The sequence below is a fragment of the Homo sapiens genome, chromosome 1 (genome assembly GCF_000001405.40).
Source record: "Homo sapiens chromosome 1, GRCh38.p14 Primary Assembly".
Taxonomy (NCBI): Eukaryota; Metazoa; Chordata; class Mammalia; order Primates; family Hominidae; genus Homo; species Homo sapiens.
The window spans coordinates 200,253,977-200,277,438 of NC_000001.11; the positions used below are offsets into that span (position 1 = coordinate 200,253,977).

Below are 23,462 nucleotides of genomic sequence, written 5' to 3' on the forward strand. Positions count from 1 at the left end.
TAGATGCTAGAGGCTGGCATGGAGACACTATAGAAGGCTGTTGCTGCTGCACCTGGTGGTAAAGTGGAGTTGCTCTTGTCTTCAGGCAGAAAGAGCTAGATGCAGAGAGAGAGGAGAGCAAAAATAAGTTGGAACCTACTGGCATCTCTGTGTCTCTTCCTCAACTACATCTATCTCTGCTAACCTACAGCAAATAGCTGTTGATTCATTTCTGCTTTCTCAGTCTTCCACCATTTTCTCTTTCAGCCAATTCTGCCCAGAGCCACAGAGGGAAGGGGGTCCTGGGAACTGTGGTTCCACTTAGCCAAGTTGACACAATACAAAACCACCACGGATGCCATAAAGAAGTTGCTCTCAACTCTCAGGATGGGGTGAAATGTTTCTTCTAAGAAAATAGTTTATTTTTATGTCATGAACACTATGAATCACATATCTGGTGGTATTTTTCTTTTGTTTTGACCGCTGGGAAACTCAGAACTGAATTTTCAGACTACTTTTCGTAACTACAGGTGTCATGACATGTGTTTGTTTACATATTAATATTCTCCCAACTTTATTTTTCCAGTTGGCCTCCCCTTCTCTCATTTGTCTGTTTTATCTTGTATATTTTTATAAGTTGTCCCAAATGATTTTTGATGGGGGGAGTAGATAAATAAATGGACGAGTGGTTAAATATAGGCAGATGGACGGATGAATAGATGGATCTGACTGCAGCCAACCTCTCCAACTTGTCTTAGTCAACTCTTTCCTCACACACTGGCCTTGTTCTTCAAACACACCAAGCTCCTCCCATTTCATGGCCATTGTGGTTGTTGTTTCTCCTCATGCTTGGCTGGTTCCTTTGGATGATGTGGGACAGCTTTTTTTTTTTTGAGACGGAGTCTGGCTGTCTCCCAGGCTGGAGTGCAGTGGTGCAATCGCAGCTCACTGCAAGCTCCGCCACCCGGGTTCACACCATTCTCCTGCCTCAGCCTCCGGAGTAGCTGGGACCACAGGCGCCCACCACCACACCCGGCTAACTTTTTGTATTTTTAGTAGAGATGGGGGTTTCACCACGTTAGCCAGGATGGTCTCAATCTCCTGACCTCGTGATCTGCCCGCCTCGGCCTCCCAAAGTGCTGGGATTACAGGCATGAGCTATGGTGCCCAGCCGGGACTGTTTTTTTTATAACAGAACCCCTCGTCTCTCAACCCACACGGTTCCTAGTATACTACCCTATCTCCTTCACCGCTCTTATCTCAGTCCGGCATAATATGTTCAATTATTGCCTACTTATGTATCTATCTTTCTCTACCTTAAAAGGATGTAAGCTCCATGAGAGCCATAACCTTGTCTCCCTACTGCTGAATCCTCAGAGCTAGAACAGAAAGCCTGGCAGAGTGGACTCTCAATACATATGTGATAAAAGAATCAATGAATGGATGAGCAGCCAATCAATCTATTGATACCCACTTTTTAAATAACCTACAATGTGACATTCTAGCTCAACAAATTCACCACTAATAACTTTATTGGTGGGGGTAGATGGAACGTGTTCTGTCTACTTGTGTAAATTGCATAGTCAAAAGGTGAGGAAATTTTGCCTATCTCTCCTTTTACCAGATAAACAGTTGTCAGGAGTTTTCATGACCACTTATGCTTACATCATTATTCCACACTTCTGCTGAGTGAGAGGAATATTGGGATAGTTTGTGTTTATTTTGGAGCTACTTGTTTTGCACCTGTGCTGTAAGCCAATCCCATCCTCATCCAATTCTTCTAACAGAGAAAGCAAAAGTAGATTATGGGAAACCTGGGAATGTTTCCACAAATAATATTTGCCATTGTCATCAATCCTGCCTTTAAAAGGAAATTTGGGCCTGGCATGTTGGCTCACGCCTGTAATCCCAACACTTTGGGAGGCCAAGGTGGGCAGATCATTTGAGGTCAGGAGTTCGAAACCAGCCTGGCAAACATAGTGAAACCCTATCCCTAACTAAAAATAGGAAAATTAGCTAGGCATGGTTGTGAGTGCCTGTAATCCCAGCTACTGGGGGGCTGAGGCAGGAGCATCACTTGAACCCAGGAGGTGGAGGTAGCAGTGAGCCGAGATCGCGCCACTGCACTCCAGCCTGGGTGACAGAGCAAGACTCTCAAAAAATAAAATAAAATAAAATAAAAGGAAATTTTGACATTCCTTCTCTTTATTGGGATAATAAAAGTCAGGGCATCCTGCGGATTCTAGAAATTATCCTTGGAAATTCTTTTTTTTTTTTTTTTTTTGAGACGGAGTCTCACTCTGTCACCCAGGCTGGAATACAGTGGCACAATCTCTGCTCGCTGCACCCTCCACCTCCTGGATTCAAGCGATTTTTCTGCCTCAGCTTCCCATGTAGCTGGGACTACAGACACGTGCCACCATGCCCGGCTAATTTTTGTATTTTTATTAGAGATGGGGTTTCACCATGTTGGCCAGGCTGGTCTCGAACCCTGACTTCAGGTAATCTGCCTGCCTCTGCCTCCCTAAGTGCTGGGATTACAGACAGGAGCCACCACGCCCTGCCTATCCTTGGAAATTCTAATAGGCAGGAATATTGGTGACTCTTTTCAGGTGCATCTAACTTTTACATTAGATGTTGCCCTGACCCGCAGGCATGTCACAAATTAAATGATTTGAGAATATTTGTTGTATAGATCTACATATAGATGTTAGGTTTAACACTTACACTTAGGTAAGAACAATTCTAAGGCTAAGGAACATTAAGGGAACAAGTTCAAAAAAATCTTTTAAAAATGTGTCTACAAGAGGCTAAATACTGTATGATTCCTCTTATATGTGGTACCTAGAATAGGCAAATTCATGGAAACAGAAAGCAGAATGGTGGTTGCCAGTGGCTGGGGGAGGGGAGAATGGAGAATGGCTGTTTAATGGGTACAGAGTGTCAGTCTGAGAAGACGAGAAAGTTCTGGAGGTGGATGGTGGTGATGGTTACACAACAGTGTGAAAGCACTTAATGCCACTGAATTTACACCTGGAAACAGTAAAAATAGGAAATCTTATATGCATGTTACCACATTTTTATAAAAAGGTATCTAGTTGTCGAGTCTGCCTCGGCGCACAGTCATAACTAGCCAATGGAATCGGACAGCACTGCCTTCAGACCTTGCGGCAGGCTGAGTAATGGCCTGCAAAAGCATCCCGTCCCAGTCCCTGGAACCTGTGAATGTTACCATTCATCGCGGAATAGAGTTAGCAGATGTGATTAGGGATCTTGAAGTGGGAAGATAATCCAGGATAATCTAGCTGGGACCTTAATGCAATCCAAGTGTCCTTATAAGAGAGAGGTGGCAGGAGATTTGACACAGAAGAGAAGAAAGCTGTGAGATGCCAGCCGGTGGAAGCGGAGTCAGAGAGAGTGGGTGCCACGCTGCTGGCTTTGAAGATGGAGAACGGGGACAGCGCCAGGGAATGCAAGGAATGTGGGTCCAGAAGCCGGAAAAGCCAAAAAACGGATGCTTCCCCTGAGCCTCCGGAGCCAGTGCAGCCCTGCCGACACCTTGATCTTGGCCCAGGGAAACTGACTTCAGACTTACGACCCCCAGAACTGTAAAAGAATAAATGTATATAAGTTTTAAGCCACCAAATGTGCAGGAATGTGTTGTCATAGAAACAGGAAACTAATACATACATGATGTACATATATTCATATAACAAATATCATTATTTCAATATTAAAACTGTTTTTGATACAAAATGCCTTGTATATTAGGTACATTCCCTTTTTTTTCTTAGAAAGCTTTGTATTAAAGGTGTTATATGAAATGGTATTGGTATCTCGGAATTATAATCAAATAACTCTACTTGGAAATTCAATTTTTAAATGCTCAGGAAAAACCTACCAGAAGCAAACTATTCATAACCTATTTATCACCTAAAATATTATAATATATTCCAAAATGCCTTTCAATCTAAAATCAGATTTCCTTTTAGATGGAGAAGGCAAACAGAATGGAGTTAAATTCACTTAAATTTGCATTTATTTTAGGTTTGGCGCTTACACTCAGGTAAGAACACTTTTAAGACTAAGGAACATTAAGTGGACAAACACTTAGCTCCCAGAGAAAAGCTGAATACCCTCCCAAACCTAGGAAAAGCAACATGAAATCCATCCTAAATCACTGTGGGAAGCCTCAGCACTGAAAACATCCTTCAAGATTATTCAGTGTTCTCAACGTAAGCCTTTGATTCCTTCACAAAAATCTAAAATGATAATATTTCAAGAACAGGCCAGGTACGGTGGCTCACACCTGTAATCCCAGCACTTTGGGAGGCCGAGGCAGGTGGATCACTCGAGGTCAGGAGTTCGAGACCAGCCTGGGCAACATGGTGAAACCCCTGTCTCTACTAAAAATACAAAAATTAGCTGAGCGTGGTGGTGGGTGTCTGTAATCTCAGCCACTTGGGAGGCTGAAGCAGGAGAATCGTGTGAACCCAGTAGGCGGAGCTTGCAGTGAACCGAGATTGAGCCATCGCACTCCAGCCTGGGCGATAGAGTGAGACTCTATCTCAAAAAAACCAGATGGGGCTTTCAATACTGAATTGTGGAAATGTTATGGACTTCTATATGTCAGATTTATATCATTTCCAAGTGGTGACCACTAGGGGCAAACACAGAACATGTTCTCTCCAGTCAGAGATTCATTCACTACCTTCAATGCCACCAGCACCCACCTTCACTGCAGGCAGAAGGTCTCCTCTCCATCCTCTGAAGAGGAACCAGAAAACCACTTCTTTCTCCAAGCTCTGTGCCTCCCGTGGGAAGCCTAACATGGAGATTACACAGATATGTGTAAAATGTTGACATTCAACAGTGAATCTAACAAATAATACTGAGAGTTTCTACTAAATAATTAAACTCTGGCTGGGCACGATGGTTCACACTTGTAATCCCAGTACATTGCGAGGCCAAGGTAGTAGGATCACTTGAAGCCAGGAGTTCGAGACCAGCCTGGGCAACAAAGTAAGACCCTGTCTCTACAAAAAATAAATAAATAGAATAAATTAAAAATTAGCTGGGTATGGTGGCATGCACTTGTAGTCTGAACTACTCAGGAGGTGGAAGGATCACTTGAACTCAGGAGTTTGAGACTACAGTGAGCTATGATCACATCACTGCACTCCAGCCTGGGCAACAGAGTGAGAATGATGATGATGATGATGATGATGATGATGACGACGATAATTAAATTTGCAAATGTCATCTCCTAATACCACTCAAATATGTCTTATCTTCATTTCCATGTCTATCACCCTAATGTAAGTATCATTATTTCACACCTGGTTTATTGCAAGATCCCCTTTACTGATCTCCCTTCATCCCTTCTTGAGTTTCTCTGATTCATTCTCCAATGAGCATCTTAAACTATCTGTACTAAATGTTAATCTTATCACACCACTTATTCCGAGTCCTACTTAAAACCCTTCAGTGGTTTCTCGTTGTTCTCAGGAAGATCAAAATCCTTGCTAATGCAAACAAAGGCCCTCCAAGGCTAACCCTGCCATCCTCACCATTTCATCCTCTCCGTCAGGCTCTCTGCCCTCAGCAACAATGAGTATCTTTCAGTGCCCCAAATGTGCAGAGTTCTCACATATTCCAAGGCCTTTCCTTTCGTGGTTCCTTCAGCCCAGGATGTAGCCTCGGAAACCACCCTTGCTCTCTGCTGGACTAATTGCCAGTGACAAAGGAGTTCTGAGGACTAAGCAAGTCAATATTTTTAAAGCCCTTAAAGCAACATCTAGCAACAAGTAAGGTTTTTTTTTTGTTTGTTTGTTTTTGTTTTTAGATGGAGTCTTGCTCTGTGGCACAGGCTGAAGTCCAGTGGTGCGATCCCGGCTCACTGCAAGCTCCGCCTCCTGAGTTCACGCCATTCTCCTGCCTCAGCCTCCTGAGTAGCTGGGACTACAGGCACCTGACACCATGCCCGGCTAATTTTTTTGTATTTTTAGTAGAGACGGGGTTTCACCGTGTTAGCCAGGATGGTCTCGATCTCCTGACCTCGTGATCTGCCCGCCTCAGCCTCCCAAAGTAAGGTATTTTTTAAATTAAATATTTTGCTAATATTAGTATTATTCCTCATCCATATGGATAAATATGGAACTTAGTCCCATAGATTTCCATAGCAAACCTTCAGACTCCCTAGTCTAGGTCAGGTTTCCTTGTTAATGCACTTACAGAATTGTGTTCGGGGGTTGATCTCACATTGTAATTATGCATTTATGTATGTGGTCACTTAAGCCCATCTTCCTTACTGGACTTTAAAGTCCAAGAGATCGGGGGCTGTACTCTTCATCTCTCTTGTTCCCATGTTGCCTGTCTCTAGTAAAGGTTTAATATGATGATTGTTGAATAAATTCATAGTACTACATAATGTAAAAATGGTTAGACTCATTTAAAGTAGTGTTAATATGCAGCCCCTATGGCATATACAAAATTCACTTAGAGGTGCCCTGGAGAGGGGCATCAAAGAGATACTGAATTTAGTCAGCTCTTGCCACCACAGTGCTGCAGAACAAACTGTCCAAACTCAGTGCTCTACAGCAAAACACTGACTGAGTTTGAGCTCCCCTAAGTGACTCCACTCTAGGTAAGATCAGCTGAACTTGCGTATGGGTTGAGTATAGACCTGTTCCACATGTCTCTCATCCTCCCCAGACCAATGGCTACCTGGGACAATCACTCCCCAGGTTGGATCCCCAGAGCACAAGATCCAAGAGCAATGTGCAAGCACATTTAGGGCCTCAGCTCATGGTACCTCTGCTATTAGTCTTTTGGCCGAGGCAAGTCACATGGCCAAGTCCAAAGTCAACAAGACAGAGAAGTATACTCTGCCTGTGGTGGGAGGGGAGAGGAGGGATTATTTGCTGAACAATAATTTAAATGATCACAGATGGTCATGCTCCAAAGCAATTGAATCTGAGGCAAAATGAGATGCCAGGGTCACTGCCAGCTTGGAGAGACATGCAGCAATTATGAAGTCACTGTGAACAGAGGCAACAAACAATGGTATCAAATGTAAGCCCCAAATTCAAAGTCACAAATAAGAGCCACCACTGAAAATTGATGTACACGGGAGATGCTTCTCGCTTTGGCAACTCTGTAACATGCTCCAGGGTGAATAACAGCTGGGATTTATTTAGCCATGGTAATGAAGCCACAGTAATGAATGCCGAGGAAGCCTTACACCATGACTGGAAGAGTGTAAACAGTGAGCATGCAAAGAGGAAAAAAATGCAAAAAAGAAGAGATAGAGAAGAAATTAAGTGTGGTTAGAACAACAGAATTATGAGTAATTTTTATTATGTTTTGAAGGCTTCCAGGACCTTCTCCTACTATGTCCTCTGCTTCTCCTGGCTTAATAGTCATCATACTTTTTTTTTTTTAATCTGTCTTCCTCTAGTTCCCATACACTCATGAAGGCAAAGACCACAAGTCTGATGCAGTCCCCACTCTATCCTCAGTCCCCTGGTACACAGTAGGTAGCCAAAAATATCCATGGAATGAATACATGAAATTCATAGTTGGATGATATCTAAAATTACCAACTAAATAAGGGATTGCTTTCTCCTGTTTGTCCTATAAAAATAAGATTTTGACTCATTTTTAACAAATCAATTTTAAAATTAGGATTTTCTTTCTTTCTTTTTTTTTTTTTTTTTTTTTTTGAGATAGAGTCTTGCTCTGTTGCCCAGGCTGGAGTTCAGTGGCACAATCTCGGCTCACTGCAACCTCCACCTCCCAAGTTCAAGCAATTCTTCTGCCTCAGCCTCCTGAGTAGTGGGAATTACAGGTGCCCGCCACCACGCCCGGCTAATTTTTGTATTTTTATTAGAGACAGGGTTTCACCATATTGGCCAGGCTGGTCTCGAACCCCTGACCTCATGATCCGCCCGCCTCAGCCTCCCAAAGTGCTGGGATTACAGGTGTGAGCCACTGCACCTGGCCAAAATTAGGAATATTTTACAAGTCATGGTGTCTGCTATTTTTGCTGGATTCTTCTGCTGTCTACTTCTAAACAGCTGCTAATTCTAATATAAGATAATTTTCACTGCAAAGAAATACTATTGAATTTTTTACCGTTGAATTTTTTCTGAAAACAATATCAATTCAGCATATTATTGGTAATGGATACTTTAATCCCAATTTCTACTCATGCTTCAAACTTCAGTTCAGACACCACCACTTCCAGAAAGTCCTTCCAGATGCCACCAGCACCTTCAACCTAAGCCCAAGAGCCCCTCTTTTGTGCTCACAGTAGTGACTGTACACACCTTTTTTTGTGCACTGGCCATAATCTTTCATGTTAGTTACAAATAAACACTTGTTGAACTCTGGGGAATTGGGCACACGTGGTAGGTGAGGCATGTGTGACCTTGGCCAGAATCCTCCGCATCAGGGCTTCTACAGATTTAGACTGGCACTTTTTTGAAAGCAATATGGTACCCTTGAATCAACAGAAGCATTCAATGATGTTCCCCTACTATTGCTTGCCTGACGGGGGTGCTATAGAGACACACACATACTTCTACGGGCATTTAAAATGAGGAGAGATCTAAGGTAAATATAACAATAGCTAATGTTGCAGGGGATTTACACATATTAACTCATTTAGTCTCCCCTACAACACTCAACACTTTCCTATGTGGTAGAACCATTGTTATCATTCCCATTTTGGACATAAGGAAACAGAAACAAAGAGAGGTTAAGTAACATGTTCCAGGTCACACAGCTGCCAAATGGCAGAGTCAGGTTGAAACCACAGCAGTGCGGCTGGGAAGCCTGAGCTCCAAACCACCATGTGACTGCCTCCTTGCTGCTACTGGTGCACGGCAGCTGCCCCCACAACCAGGGCCTTTCTGTTCTTGATTTTAATAATAAATTCACTCAGTTGTTTGGCTTTTGTTTCGGGGGTGGAGGAGAGGAAGATACAGTATTATTTTATAATCAAAGGGAAATAAAACGCTATTTTGAAAAATACGAACTCAATTTGAAAGGTGTTATGGACTAAATTATACCCCCTAAAATTCACATGTTGAAGCCCTAGCCTCCAGTGTGACTGTATTTAGAGATAGGGACTTTAAGGAGGTAATTAGGTTTAAATGAGGTCAAAAGAGTGGGCCTAAGTTGATAGGAGGGGTATCCTTATAAGAAGAAGTAGTTATTTCTGCTGAGAGAGAGAAAAAAAATGGGAAAAGAAATGAACAAAAAAAAAGAGGGAGAGACACCAGGGAACTCTCTCTCTTCACAAACACAGAAGAAAGGCCATGTGAGGACAGAGTGAGAAGGCGACTGTCTGCAAGCCAGGAAGAGAGCCCTCACCAGATACCAACCCCGTCAACACCCTGACCTTGGACTTCCAGCCTCTGGAGCTGTGAGAAAATAAATGTCTATTGTTTAAGCCACCCAGTCCATGGTACCTTGTCAGGGCAGACCAAGTAGACTGATACAAAGGGCAATGTACAAAGAAGCCTCATATTTCCATCCATTACAAAGAGAAGCTAAGGATGAAGAAATAAACAGTAAGGGAAAAAAAAATGTATTGAAACTAATTGGTCAAATAACACAACTCCATCAGGGAGTACCCCGCTCTAAAGTACCTCAAGCTCTGGCCATCGGCAAGAAATATTTGCCAAATATCTACCATCTCTGGCCCCAAGAAGTTAAGGCTTTCATTAGGGCACCATAGCACATATTGACCTAGATGTGAGTGTGGAAATATATAAGACTATAAGACCATATATGCCTAAAAAATGGTACAAGTGTTCAGAGGAGAAATCTTCATTTCAACAATGGTTTTTGGAGTATTTAGAATTTGACATGATTCATACAGAAAGAACAGGTTGCAAGTAAGTGGTCACGTGGAATAAAAAATTTACAACAGGGCAATGGTGGTTGCAAAGCCTAAGCAGCTGAAATGCAGTTGGCATATTCAACAACCCATAGCTAAAAGGTCAGTTCTTCAGAATAGGGGAATGAGTTGGAATGCACACAGCTAAGGATAAAGTGGAAAGGTCAGTGTGCAATTTTGAAAACGGTAAAAAGCAGGTTTCTTGGTATTGAATTTATCGTATATGGGGGCTGGCAAGATGGGAAAGAACTCATACAAAGATGTGTTTGAGAAGGTTATTCTTAGCTGAGCATGGTAGCCTATGCCTGTAATCCCAGCTACACAGGAGGCTGAGGCAGGGGAATTGCTTGAACCCAGGAGGCGGAGGTTGCGGTGAGCCGAGATCGCACCATTGCACTCCAGCCTGGACAACAAGAGCGAAACTCCATCTCAAAAAAGAAAAAAAAAAAGAGAGAGAGAGATTATTCTGGAAGCTGGGTGTAGAGTGGACTAATGAGGAAAGAATCTGGAGGCAGGATGAATAGCTGGAAGACAGAACAATAATCCAAGAATCTTGAATTCTGAGATCTAGATTAGCTGGTGGCAATGATAATCACCAGGAGCCGATGTGAACGGCACTGAATAGGAGAAAGTGAGACCCAGCACGGGCAACAGAGTGAGACCCATCTCAAAAAACAGAATAAAATAAAATAATAAAATTACTTTCCTTACTGACATTGTAAAAATTGATGCTTAAAGCAAATGTTTTTGCCATCACTATTGTTGTCAACTACAAATAACAGTTTTGAGCATCCCAGAAAATGCACCACCGCCAGTAGGCAATGCCACACTGCCCGCACTCACAATGTAAATGTGCCATCAGTGGCCTAACAGACCCCATGGGGTCCTTTCCAGCACTCAATGTTCCATGGTCCTGTGATGCTCAAGTGAGGCTCAAAGCACAAATAGTTAAGTTCAAAGCCTGGCAACTCCCATTCCAGATCCCATTATTGATTGCATTTATCACATGATTTTCTCCTTTTAAGTAAAGACCTAGGTGTTGGAAAAGACTCTGTTCCCTTAAACAAAATATTCAATGTCACTGTTGTGTCCTTACAGATAACTATGACAGAAATAATAATACCTTCAGTAGAGGATTTGCAGACAACCTTGCAATAACTCTGCATTCTCCCAGGGGTCTGTAAGACAACAGGTTGATGATGACTTATCTAAAAAATGGATGGACAACAAATACTTCAGGCAATCCTCCATAAATATTGTTTCCCTCTGCAGAGCTTTCGAAAGGTATTAATGGCAGTGAGTTTGAGATTGTATTTCCTGATAAGAACCTGGAAAGCAACTATACCAGGTAGCCAGTTAAAAGCAAAAGAGTAATCAGATGACATTAGGAACCTGACTGTGTACATGTGTTAAACAGGCAAAAGTGCTTTAAAAGTCAATTCTGAATAAGAAGGCATACCCTTCCTTCCTTTCTTAGTCATCCCAATTACAGCTTCCTCCTTTCTTGCCTTCTTTTGGGTAAACTGAACATTTCTTAATATTCCATTTTTTCTCTTCTATTGAGTTTTTAGCTATACACATTCACTGTGTATAGCTTTTTCTACCTTTAATTTTGCTAATCAGCCAAAGTAACTACTCATGTCTAACCTACCATAAGATATGACAGGCCACTAAAATGCAACTTTGAAAATTAAATGCACACACAGTGATATGTAACATGAACTCCTGTGCATTGTAAAATAATAACAAATGGAATTTTACAAGATTCAACACGAGATTCCAACCAAGCCTTTTATGAGCAAGGGCAACATTTCACCATGCTATTTGTACAGGTACCATTTTTTTTTTTTTAATTTATTCCTTTGGTAGTCAAGAGAACTGGTTTCCATAGAGGACCAGTCTGCAAAGAGAGCATTCAATATATCCAAATAAAATAGTGGATTCATTAAGATCCACCTTTGATTACTAATATGTGCTAACCAGTTAGCTACATGACACTGGGCCAGAAGTCACCTATGCCCCCTGATCCATATAACACTGACTTCTGTGATAGACACATAGGGGCTAAATAGGACATGGCACATGTGTCATGTAGGACGGCAAGAAGGGATTTATTTGCAAAAGACACATAGATCTATGCCAAGGGAAGTCAACCCCTAAGATGAGCCTCTCAAATCCGTTCACATTCTCAGACTATGAGTTAAGTCAACTCAAACCTCAATAAAATGGTACCAGTGACTGTGAGGTAAAATCTGTCATCGCCTTCATTGTAAAAAGGGCCATTGAACCGTGGCTGCTACTTCACCGGCCCTGATTCAACTTCCCTTTAAAAAAAAGATTTCTGCTTAACATTTCTCATTTTCTTCTTCTTAATTTGCATTAGTTATTTCAAAAGAGAAAAACAAAAGAGTAATTGTCTCAAAGAAATGAAATACTCAGGTAAGCGGGCAACCAACAACCACACAAATGTCTGTGAATTGCATAATCAATTCTGTGATTAGGCAGAGGAGAGCTCTGCACCCACATTGATTATAAAATGCAAATCTGAATACAGCTAATCTTCACATAAATATAATAGGTATAGTATTGATTTTTTCCCTTGTGATCATGTGTAAAATTAACTATCTACAGTAATGGTAAAGAAGTAATATATTATTATTTGAAGGTGGTCTGTAATAAGTTAAAGATGCATGTTGTAATGTCTAGAGCAACCACTTGAACACACACACACACACAGTAAGTGTGTATAGCTAAAAACTCAATAGAAGAGATAAAATGGAATATTAAGAAATGTTCGATTTACCCAAAAGAAGGCAAGAAAGGAGGAAGAAAGAAACAAACAAGTTGGAACAAACACAAAACAAACGTGATGGACTTGCATCCAAACATATTAAACACTCTAATTAAAGTGGTGGTAAAAAAAAAATTGTGAGAAATGCATCAGTAACAAGGACATTGTCCACCATTTCACATCCTTTTATTTAAAATAAATCTTTTTTAATATATTTCAATGTCTGTTTGTTGTAGTTTCATATGTGTTACATGGTAATTGGCTCCACATAGAAGAAAAAACTCTCTAGATAATCTCAACTAAGGCTCTATCAGCAAAAGTCCCTCAGTAGAGAGTAACATGGTGGATGTAAGCATACTGAGGCTGCTGCCATCAGTAGAAATGCTTGTTTATTTAACTGATGGCTGCTACCTTCACTGGAGTGCTAGGGACACGGAATGAAATGGACTGGACTTGGCAAAGGGATATGTTATATTGTATACTTCTTTTTGATCCCTAACCGCTCTTGTGAGTTTGAAACATCCACTCGGTGCTTCAGATACTTAAACATTTTATTTTATTTATTTTTTTACAAGGCCACAGCCAACATTGTAACAAATAAGCAAAAATTTTAAAAGAAAGGTTGAGACATTAGTCTCACACACACATACAGAGCTCAATAAATGTGACATTAGTAAGAAAGTTCATATGATGTCTGCACATCTACAGCTAGAGATATTTTTTAAAAAACAGTGTCTACATCTTATGAACAGAATAATATATCAACATTTTTATAGCAAAGCAGACAATTTCTATGATAAATAATTTCCAGTCCCACACAGGCAGGGGCCTTTAAGAATTTCAGCTTTAATAAAAAGAGAGTTTAATTACAAAGCCAGTGAGTTATGATCAACATTCTCAGCCTCCCCCATACAGCTTCCAACACCAGGTACCACAACTGCATACACAAGTAACTACATTTGTATTTCTCTCTCGTTCGAAGGGACAGGGCAAGTCAAAAACTGATTGTGCAATTTCAGGCCCTCAAATAACTAACATTTTCCAAAGAGGGAGCCTTTAGCTGCAGAGGTTTCAACAAACAAGTAATTTAACCCTAAGGTATAAAGAATCCTTTATTGATCAATCAGTACTAGCGAAATGGATCATCTTCTTTGGGTATGATTTTCAGTAACATCGGAGCCACCCTATGCCATCAACAAGTAGCACCACTTTGAAAAGAAATAGGATTTTAGGTAATAATTGCAGTACCACGGTACCATTTCCTTTCTCACGCCTCCCTGGCCAACCCTCTGATCCAAACCACTGCCCTTTCTCACCTGGATTCTTCCAATAACCTCCTAACAGGGTACTCTGCTTCAATCTCTGACCCCTTAGCTGCATTCTTAGCATAGCGTCAGAATGGGCCTCCACAAATGTGAAGTCAGGTCATAACTCTTCTCTGCACTTCACTCAGAGTGCCCCATGACCTATAAGGTCCCTGAACCTGATATTCCCCTCCCCACAACTGCTTTGACCTCACACCCATTACTCTGCCCATCATTCACTCCACTCCAGCCACACTGACTTCCTGGCTGGTCTGTGAACTCACCAGGCACACACCCATCTCAGGGCCTCTGCAGAGCTTCTTCCCCAGACATCCATATGGCACATGCCCTCACCACTTCCAATTTGTATCTAACTGTCTCCCACTTAGTGCCCTACCCTGTCTTTAAAAATTACAAACCAGGCCGGGTGCGGTGGCTCACGCCTGTAATCCCACAACTTTGGGAGGCCGAGGCAGGCAGATCACGAAGTCAGGAGATTGAGACCATCCTGGCTAACATGGTGAAACCCCATCTCTACTAAAAAAATACAAAAAATTAGCTGGGCATGGTGGCACATGCCTGTAGTCCCAGCTACTTGGGAGGCTGAGGCAGGAGAACTGCTTGAACCCAGGAGGCAGAGGTGGCAGTGAGCCGAGATTGTGCCACTGTACTCCAGCCTGGGCAACAGAGCGAGACTCCATCTAAAAAAAAAAACAAAAAACAAAAAAACACTGCCAGCCAGACTTCCACCCAAGAACACCCTGATCCTTCTTATCCCAATATATTTTTTCCCTAGATGGTAGTTATCATCTTCTGACAGCCAAGAATGTTAATGTCTACTATATTATATACTTTTACATAAATATATCACTTACATATTTGCTTATTGTGTTTCTTGTGTTCCCTCATGAGATTGTAAAACCCCCAAGAAGGAAGATTTTAATCTATTTTGTTTCCGGTGTCTAAAATATGGTCATATTCAAAAAACATTTGTTGAGTTTCTTGTGTTTTTTTTTTTTAGAGACAGTCTCACTCTGTCGCCAGGCTGGAGGGCAATGGCACAATCGTAGCTCATTGCAGCCTTGAACTCCTGGGCTCCTGCTATCCTCCCACTTTGGTCTCCAGAATAGCTGGGACTACAGGCATGGGCCACCACCCTGGCTACTTTTTTTTAACTTTTGTAAAGACAGGGTCTTTCTATGTTGCCCAGGCTAGTCTCAAACTCCTGGTCTCAAGCAATCCTCCTGCCTTGGGATCTGAAAGTGCAGGGATTACAGGCGTGAGCCAGCGCTCCTGGCCTTGTTGAGTTTCTGAATCAATAAATGAAAGGGGACATTTTCATCAGGGGTCAGGCATGAAGAGCCTTAAGTGCTGTGATAAGGAGTCTGGACTGGATCCAAAGGGCAAGGGTAAATGATGAAAAAGATGGGTTACAGGGACCTCCAAAATGGTACCACATGCACCCCACCTCCAGGCCTTCACAGCCTTGTCTGGTTCTCCTCCCACTGTGTGCCAGGGTTGGTCTGTGTGACCAATAGAAGGGATGATATGTCACTTCCAAGACTAAGCTCTAAAGACACTGCCGCTTCCATCTTGGTCAATCTCTGTCCCTCAGTCCCCACCCTCTGCCTTACTCACTCTAGAGAAAGCTGGCTGCCATGTCACAACCAGCCCTATGGAAAGGCCCAGTGGCAAGGAAATGAAACCTCTTGCTATTTGCCACATGAATGCATATCAAAATAGATCCTTTAGTCCTAGTCAACAGTTCAGAGGCTGCAGCTCCAGCAGCTGCTTGACTGCAACCTCATGAAAAACAGAGCCACCCAGCTAAATCACTCCTCTCCACTATCCAAAGCCAGATTACTGACCCTCAGAGACTCTGTGAGATCATAAATGCCCATTGTTCTAAGCTGCTGCATTTTGAAATGTTTTGTTACCTTGCAGTAGATAACTAATGAAAGCAATATGAGATGGGAGGTAGGATGGCCAGTTTCAAGGCACAGTATTCTAGTTAAAAAGGCATGAAGACCTCAACAAGGACAGAGGCAGTGGAGGTAAAGAGAATGAGGCTGCCTCAAGGGCTCTCCAGAGGTGGCAGCACCAGGGTTTGATACCTGATGGGATGGGTATCATCCATCCATCCAATCCAATGCCACAATATCATCCATCAATACCAGAGGCATAAGGAATAGGAATCTAGGAAGATGCTCAGATTTCTGATGGTTGTCTGGATACACAGTGAAGCTACTAATCAGGATGTAGGATACAAATCGATCACACACTAATCAATAGTCTCTGGCCCCAACTAAGCGCCACGCTGTGTTCTTGGTATTTCTTCAGCTGCTACCATACAGGCACTTCCTCCAGCCAGCTCGCAGGCAGCTGAAGCATCACCTCCTCTCATCCAACCCAGGCAGAGTTGGACACTCTCTCCTCTATGCCCCAATGTGTATTCACACACTTCTTTCAGAGCACTTTCCTGTGTTTTGCAGTTACCTATACTTTACTCTGTGCTGCCTCAGAAAGGGATTTGTCTTTTCCATCCTTGCATCCCTTGACCTGGCACATATTAAGTTCTCAATACATGTTGGATGGAAAATGAGTGAACAAAATAGCAACCCCACTCTACCCATCATCACAATTACGGAGCCACATTCTGCTCAGAGGAAAACTTCCTTATGCTGGTATTTTAGACCGCTCCATCCAGAATGCCCTTCCAATGGCAACTACACATTCCTCACTGCCTTCCTGATGTGACCATTTTCTCCCAGGATTCCAGCAGCCCAGAATGACCTACTTACAGCCATGGACTGAGGTGGCCTTTTGCACAAAGAAACATGAATAGCAGGCCCTGAAGAAAGGTCTGCAGGTGGGAAATAGAATATTCCTGACCACCAGAAATCAACATTGTAGCCAAGAAGTTGGAGGTGTTTTTCTTCTGTCCCTTTCCTAGGCTGAAAATATAAAATCCATGACCTAAAAATTCAAGTTCCATGAGACATAAGGTTTATCGGTTTATCGTATTGTATGTCTTTACTTACAATGCAACTTTTTTTTTTTTTTTTTTTTTTTGAGACGGAGTCTCTCTCTTGTCACCCAGGCTGGAGTGCAGTGGTGTGATCTCGGCTCACTGCAAACTCCACCTCCTGGGTTCATGCCATTCTCCTGCCTCAGCCTCCCAAGTAGGTGGGACTACAGGCGCATGCCACCACGCCTGGCTAATTTTCTTGTATTTTTAGTAGAGATGGGGTTTCACCGTGTTAGCCAGGATGGTCTCGATCTCCTGACCTCATGATCCACCTGCCTCGGCCTCCTCACTCCTTATATTAAGTCTACTTCTCTTGAGCAAATAATGTATTCACTCAACAACATGGATTGAGTGCCTTCTACATTCTAGAGTCAGAATACCCACCCCTCACTACTACTGAGTGTCATTATGAGTCTTTTCCCACCAAGTCTAGGGTAATCTGAGAAACGGTTTTGCTTCCCCTGTTCAAATGTTTCCAAGAATATTTAGAGATATATCACAATGTCATTTCAAGCAGCACAAGTAGCATACAAAACTGTTTAGTATCTGGCCAGGCACACTGGCTCATGCCTGTAATCCCAGCACTTTGGGAGGCTGAGGCAGGAGGATCACTTGAGGTCAGGAGTTCAAGACCTGCCTGACCAACATGATGAAACCTGACTCTACTAAAAATACAAAAAAAAAAAAAAAAATAGCTGGGTATGGTAGTAGAAGCCTGTAATCCCAGTTACTTGGAAGGCTGAGGCATGAGAATCACTTGAACCTAGGAGACAGAGGTTGCAGTGACCCAAGGTCACACCACTGCACTCCAGCCCAGGCGACAGAGCAAGATTCTGTCTCAAAAAAAATAAATGAAACTCTTTAATATGTGATATAATCCTAGTTTTGCCTATATGTCTGTGTGTATAGCTATATGGATATGTGCCTATATATACATATATAGATAATATACACACACTCAAGACAGAAATAAAATATATCAAAATGTTAACAGGAGGCCAGGCGTGGTACCTCATGCCTGTAATCCCAGCACTGTGGGAGGCCAAGGCAGGAGGATTGCTTGAGCCCAAGAGTTCAGGACCAGTCTGGGCAACATGGCGCAACCCTGTCTCTACACAAAATACAAAAATTAGCTGGATGTGGTGGCATACACCTGTAGTCCCAGCTACTTGAGAGGCTTCAGGGGAAGGATCATCTGAGCCTAGGGAGGTCGAGGCTGCGATGAGTCATGATTGCACCACTGCACTCCAACCTGGCTGACAGAGGGAGACCCTGTCTCAAAAAAAAAAAAAAAAGTTAAAAGATTATATATGTTTGAAGTTTTCCAAAATAAAAAGTTAAAAACTATGTTAACATGGAGATGGCATTGTAAATGAGTATATTTTTCTTCTTCTTGCTTTTCCCATTATCTAAAATATCACAACTTTTAGTGGTATAAATGTCATTTTAAAACACAATATGAAAAATAAATCTAGCAAGTGACTAACAGTAGTTACAGCTAAAGGGGGGAAGGGGAGATAATGAGCTCTTTCAGCTTCATTCTTACCCTTACCTATATTTTCCTAAATTTTCTATAGTGAATGTGTATTATTTTAAAACTGGAAGGTGAAGCCTATTTAAAAATGCAATTAACACACAGACATCTGAGAACATAAGTATTGTCTTGGCAATGGCCCCTACAGCAGACTTTTCTCTTGAAAAATGCGTGCCTCTTCCATTTACTGTTTTTTTCTATCTTGGAACGCCTCTTCTTACATACTAAACAGTTCAAGACTCAGATTTAAATTAAAATCCTCTTAATTAGGTCAGAGACTCTCCTGTTAAGCATGTCTTCCAGGTCACGGGGAGCTCACCTCACTGGGATGGGAGCCAGTCTGCCCAGGGCCGGACCAGCTCTTCCACAGGAAAACATGGATGTAGAGGTGAAAGGGCAATCTGACCTACCAATCCTTCTAAAACCTGTCCAGGATTTGGAACCCTAGACACTCCAGGTTTCTTTCTGACTCCAGCAGGCATTACCCCAATAGTCAGCAGAAAGTGTGAGGACTGGGCCTGCCAGGTCCTGGCACCACCTCTTTCCTCTTGTCACACCCTCTTTGAAGCCCATACACAGGGTAACTTATGTTTGCACACCTTAGAACATGAAATCAGTGCTTCTCCCAACCAGCCTCTCCTCTTCAGGGCTGTCCATTCCTGACAGCACCATTGATGTTGTTCTGTGCCATGTGGGACTCTGAGCCATTCACCTCCTCCATAGATAGAACACCCTTCCTCACGTCCTTTGTCCTGTCAATCTGTTATCCAGGATGAACTCCTCACCTCCCTGATTGCCTTCTTTAACCACTTCTTCCACTCAGTTTAGGGACTCTTCATATTCATAAGGCACAAGGCTCTCCTAATGTGCCTCTTGTGTAAGAGATAAGAAAAACCAAACTGTTTTTCCCACTCTCATACACTCAACACAAGATATTTCACCTCTGATAACCAAAACGTATGTGGGGTTTTCCCCACACATCAAGCAATTCTCCAGAAGACACTAACTGAGTGTCCTACAATTTAACTCAACTCTGACACTCTTTACCTGGTTAAGAGCTCCTACTGGTTAGGAGCTCAGTTCCACAAGGCTGTCTCCCTCTCCAGATGCCAGTTGCAAGCCCTGTGTTGTATTACCTGTACTTCTGACCAATCAGCAGAACTTGAGGATTCCCAAGACCCCTTCCTCACATTGGATTAATTTACTAGGACAGCTCACAGAACTCAGGGAAACAAGGGTGTCTGTCAGGTTTTTCCATCTTCATACATGTCTGCTTCTCCCATGACCTCCACCACCACATCATGACGCAGCATGTGAGACCTCACCAGAAGCTGGCACCATGCCCTTGAACTTCTCAGCTCACAGAACCATGAGAAAAAAAAAACTCTTTTATATATATATATATATATATATATATATATATATATATATATTCTTCATATATATATATATATTCTTCATATATATATGAAGAATATATATATATATTCTTCATATTCTAAAAAAACTCAAGAGAAATACTTTACTTACATTTACCTATTTGTTATAAAGGGTATTGCAAAGGACACAGATAAGCATCCAGATGAAGTAATACAGGGCAAGGTACCCAGGAAGGGGCACGGAGCTTCCATGCCCCCTCCTGATGGGCCACCCTTCAAGAACCTCCATGTGTTCAGCAATCCAGAAGCTCTCGAATCCTGTCCTTTTGGGTTTTTATGGCAGCTTCATTACATAGGCATGACTGATTACATCATTGGCCATTGGTGATCAACTCAACCTTCAGTCCCTCTCTCCTCCTTCAGGGCAGAGGTCGAGGGTGGGGGTTGAGGACAGAAGACTATAAATTCCAACCCTCTAATCACATAGTTGGTTCCTCTGGCAACCAGCTTCCATCCTGAGGCTATCCAGGCCCCACCACTACCCTAAAACACACACATATACCAGTTCATCGTGACAGCATGCAAATACACATCACTTTGGAGATTCCAAGGATTTTAGGAGCTATGTGCCAGGAACCAGAAGCAGAAACCAAATGTATATATTTGGTTATTATACCATAATATTACATCATTATAATTATATCATAATATTACACCATGTAACCTTCTTTTCAAGCATGAAGCCTAGCCCTGTGTTAGTAAGTGTCTCAGGCCAAGCCACTCAAGAACATTGCCTGTGGTCTATAGGATGCTGGATGGCCTTCTTCAAAGCCCAGAGCTTTCAGTATTTGGATAAATGTGGATCCTTCATGGACTTTGTGTGGGCTGCCTGACCACTCAGGCCTTTGTGAGTTGTGCTAAGAAGGGGGCTAGGGTTCTCTCTGCTCTTCAGGTAGCCACGCTAATATACTGTGGAGTTGGAATCAGCATTCGGGTTTCCTGACTGATCTCCGCATCTGGCTTCTCACAACCACCAATCACACAACATTCCCAGAGCTCTCATGGCAGATGTGCTGGCCCCATTCAGGACTCTCAATGACACCGTCCTCTCTGGAAATATTTTATACCAAATACAGCTATTACAATTGTGACTGTAAAAGAAAATAAATAAGGGAAAAACCTCTAGTTCCTGGACAAGTTTCCTTTTGCATGCTGTATGGAGCAGACCCAACTCCCCCAGCCCAAGCAACATTGATAAGAGTTGGGCTGTTCATACCTGTTACAGGAGTTTCCGCCTGAAGCAAATTATTGTTATTACCAGGTTATAAACCCTTAGAAGAATCCCTTAATGGAAAAGCTAACAGCCCATTAACTATAATGAGTGTCATATATAGGATGCGTTCCAGCAGAGGGAAGGCAACTGTGTTATCTCGGTCTTTGAGCAACCCCCGGGCTCATGACAAGGATGGTCGACACCAGACAGTGAGACCCTCCCGACAGGACAAACCACTCTGCCGTTATATGTGACTCTCTGGTCCCTGCATCAGTCCTGGAGAAACCCAGTTTATTTACAAGACCTGCCTTCCACCTTGAGAGAATGCAACACATCTGGGGGACAGTTTACAAAGAGGGGAAGTCAGCTACCGCCATCAGCAGACGTGAGACCGTTAGCCTCACACACCAGGCTGCAAGGCAGGGCCTGTTATCACAAACAAGCTGTTTGCTCACTGTTTGAATCTATTTCTGGAGACTGTTTACCTAAATGAAATTACTTATCCACTGGGGCAGGGTTCAAAGCTCAAAAGATAAGTGCAATCGGCTGTTAAAAAGATCCAAGCTTGGGAAAATGAGGGGGAAAGAACAAAGTCAGATTAATCCCAGGGGAAGAAAGTCTCAATGCCATAGAAATTACATGGCATTCCTTTAGACCATCAATTAATTTTAATTCCAAAAGTTCAAAGGCACTATTTAAAGGAACTAATTAATAGCTAATATTCTCCCCAGGGTGATCTAGTCTGGTTTACAAGAGCAACGGCATTGATGGGCTGAACGTTCGTTCCTTCTCTTGCTGATCATTACAGGTAACGCTAGCCTGAGTCCATGGAGGACAGATCTGGGAATTCCCATGCATGGAATAATAATGACACTTACTAGTCCTTACTCAGACTCTTGCTAAATTTTAGTTACTCTACCTCTGGGGACGTGGCTCACCGCAGTCATCCTTGAATTACGCTCTGTGGAAAAGTGGACCCTAAAGTCGAGGGTACATCTTGCTCTATGTAAGTTCTAGTATTGTTGTTCTTTACATAAGCTACTCTAGGGGAAAGTTCTTATTTGACTTTTTTTAACCTTAGGTGCAGAGTGTTGAGTTCATCATACTCCCACCTCCATTCAATGTCACTGGGCTGTACACGTGCCTTCTCTTTAATATTTTTTAAATTTCCTTTTGATCTTCCTACTCACTCCCATCCTCTCTCCTCCCACACATAGGCTGCTATCCTAAGGTGTTTAATGTTTATTTTGTTTGTCTGGATATCTCTGTCTTGTGTTCATGTATTTTTCCTTTTGCTCATAATCCTCTTACCCAAGTATTACTTTTATTCCTGTTACAATCAGGTCCTTGTCCATCTGCGTTTTCATTGTTTACGCATTGTAAGTAATATCCATGATAGAATATTTGTGTCCTGATTTTTAACATTTCTATAATGAGCTTTTCTTTTCTTTAGTCTTTGATAGACTTTTTTTCTTATCTCCCTGCACCCCCAGCAGGTGACCACTGCTAACAGCATGGGCAGGGTCTATCTCTCCACACGTCTTCAGGATCACTCAATCCTTTAAACTGGTAGTTACAGAAATGTGTGTGTGTGTGAGAGAGAGAGAGAGAGAGAGAGAGAGAGAGAGAGACAGAGAGAGAGAAAGTGAGAGAGAGAGAGAGAGAGAGGAGAGAGATTTGGTTTAATGAACTGGATTCGTAATCCATAGCTCTGTGGCTTGCTATTCTCATCTAAGAATATGTCATGATCATCCTTCCAGGGCAGTAGATCCGGATCTCTGGCATTCTTTTTTAATAGCTGTCTAGTAATTCATGGGATAGATGGATGTTCAGCAGTTCACCCAACCATCCCTCTACTGACGGGCATTTAGGTTGCACACGGTTTTTTATCACTACAAATAAAGCTGCATATTTATGCACGTGAATCCATAAATACTGGGGCTTTTACATCTATAGGGTAGATTTCCAGGAGGGTGCATAAATTTTTTACCTATATAAATGGTATTAAGTTAAATGCCACTTTGTATTTTTTATTTCTTCACTATGTACTATGCTTTTAATATCTATCCATGTTATAATTTGCAGACCTAATATGTTGGTTCTAACCACTGCACAATATTCCATAGTGAGCCCCCAGTTCACTTAACCTATCAGTCTCCAGATGCCTGTATATAATAGCAGCACAGTGGGTAAGGTGCTTTTTAAATACTACTGAAAGGTTAACGTGCTTAAAAATAAAGCACCAAGCCAGGTGGGGTGGCTCACAC

At 42.3% G+C, this 23,462-nt stretch overlaps 1 annotated feature.

The window, feature by feature from the left end:
• Positions 230-309: an enhancer, noted in NCBI's record as "active region_2296". NCBI's record gives its function as "activates an Ori minimal core promoter by ATAC-STARR-seq in GM12878 lymphoblastoid cells {active_cell/tissue: GM12878}" and the evidence as "EXISTENCE:reporter gene assay evidence [ECO:0000049][PMID:35858748]".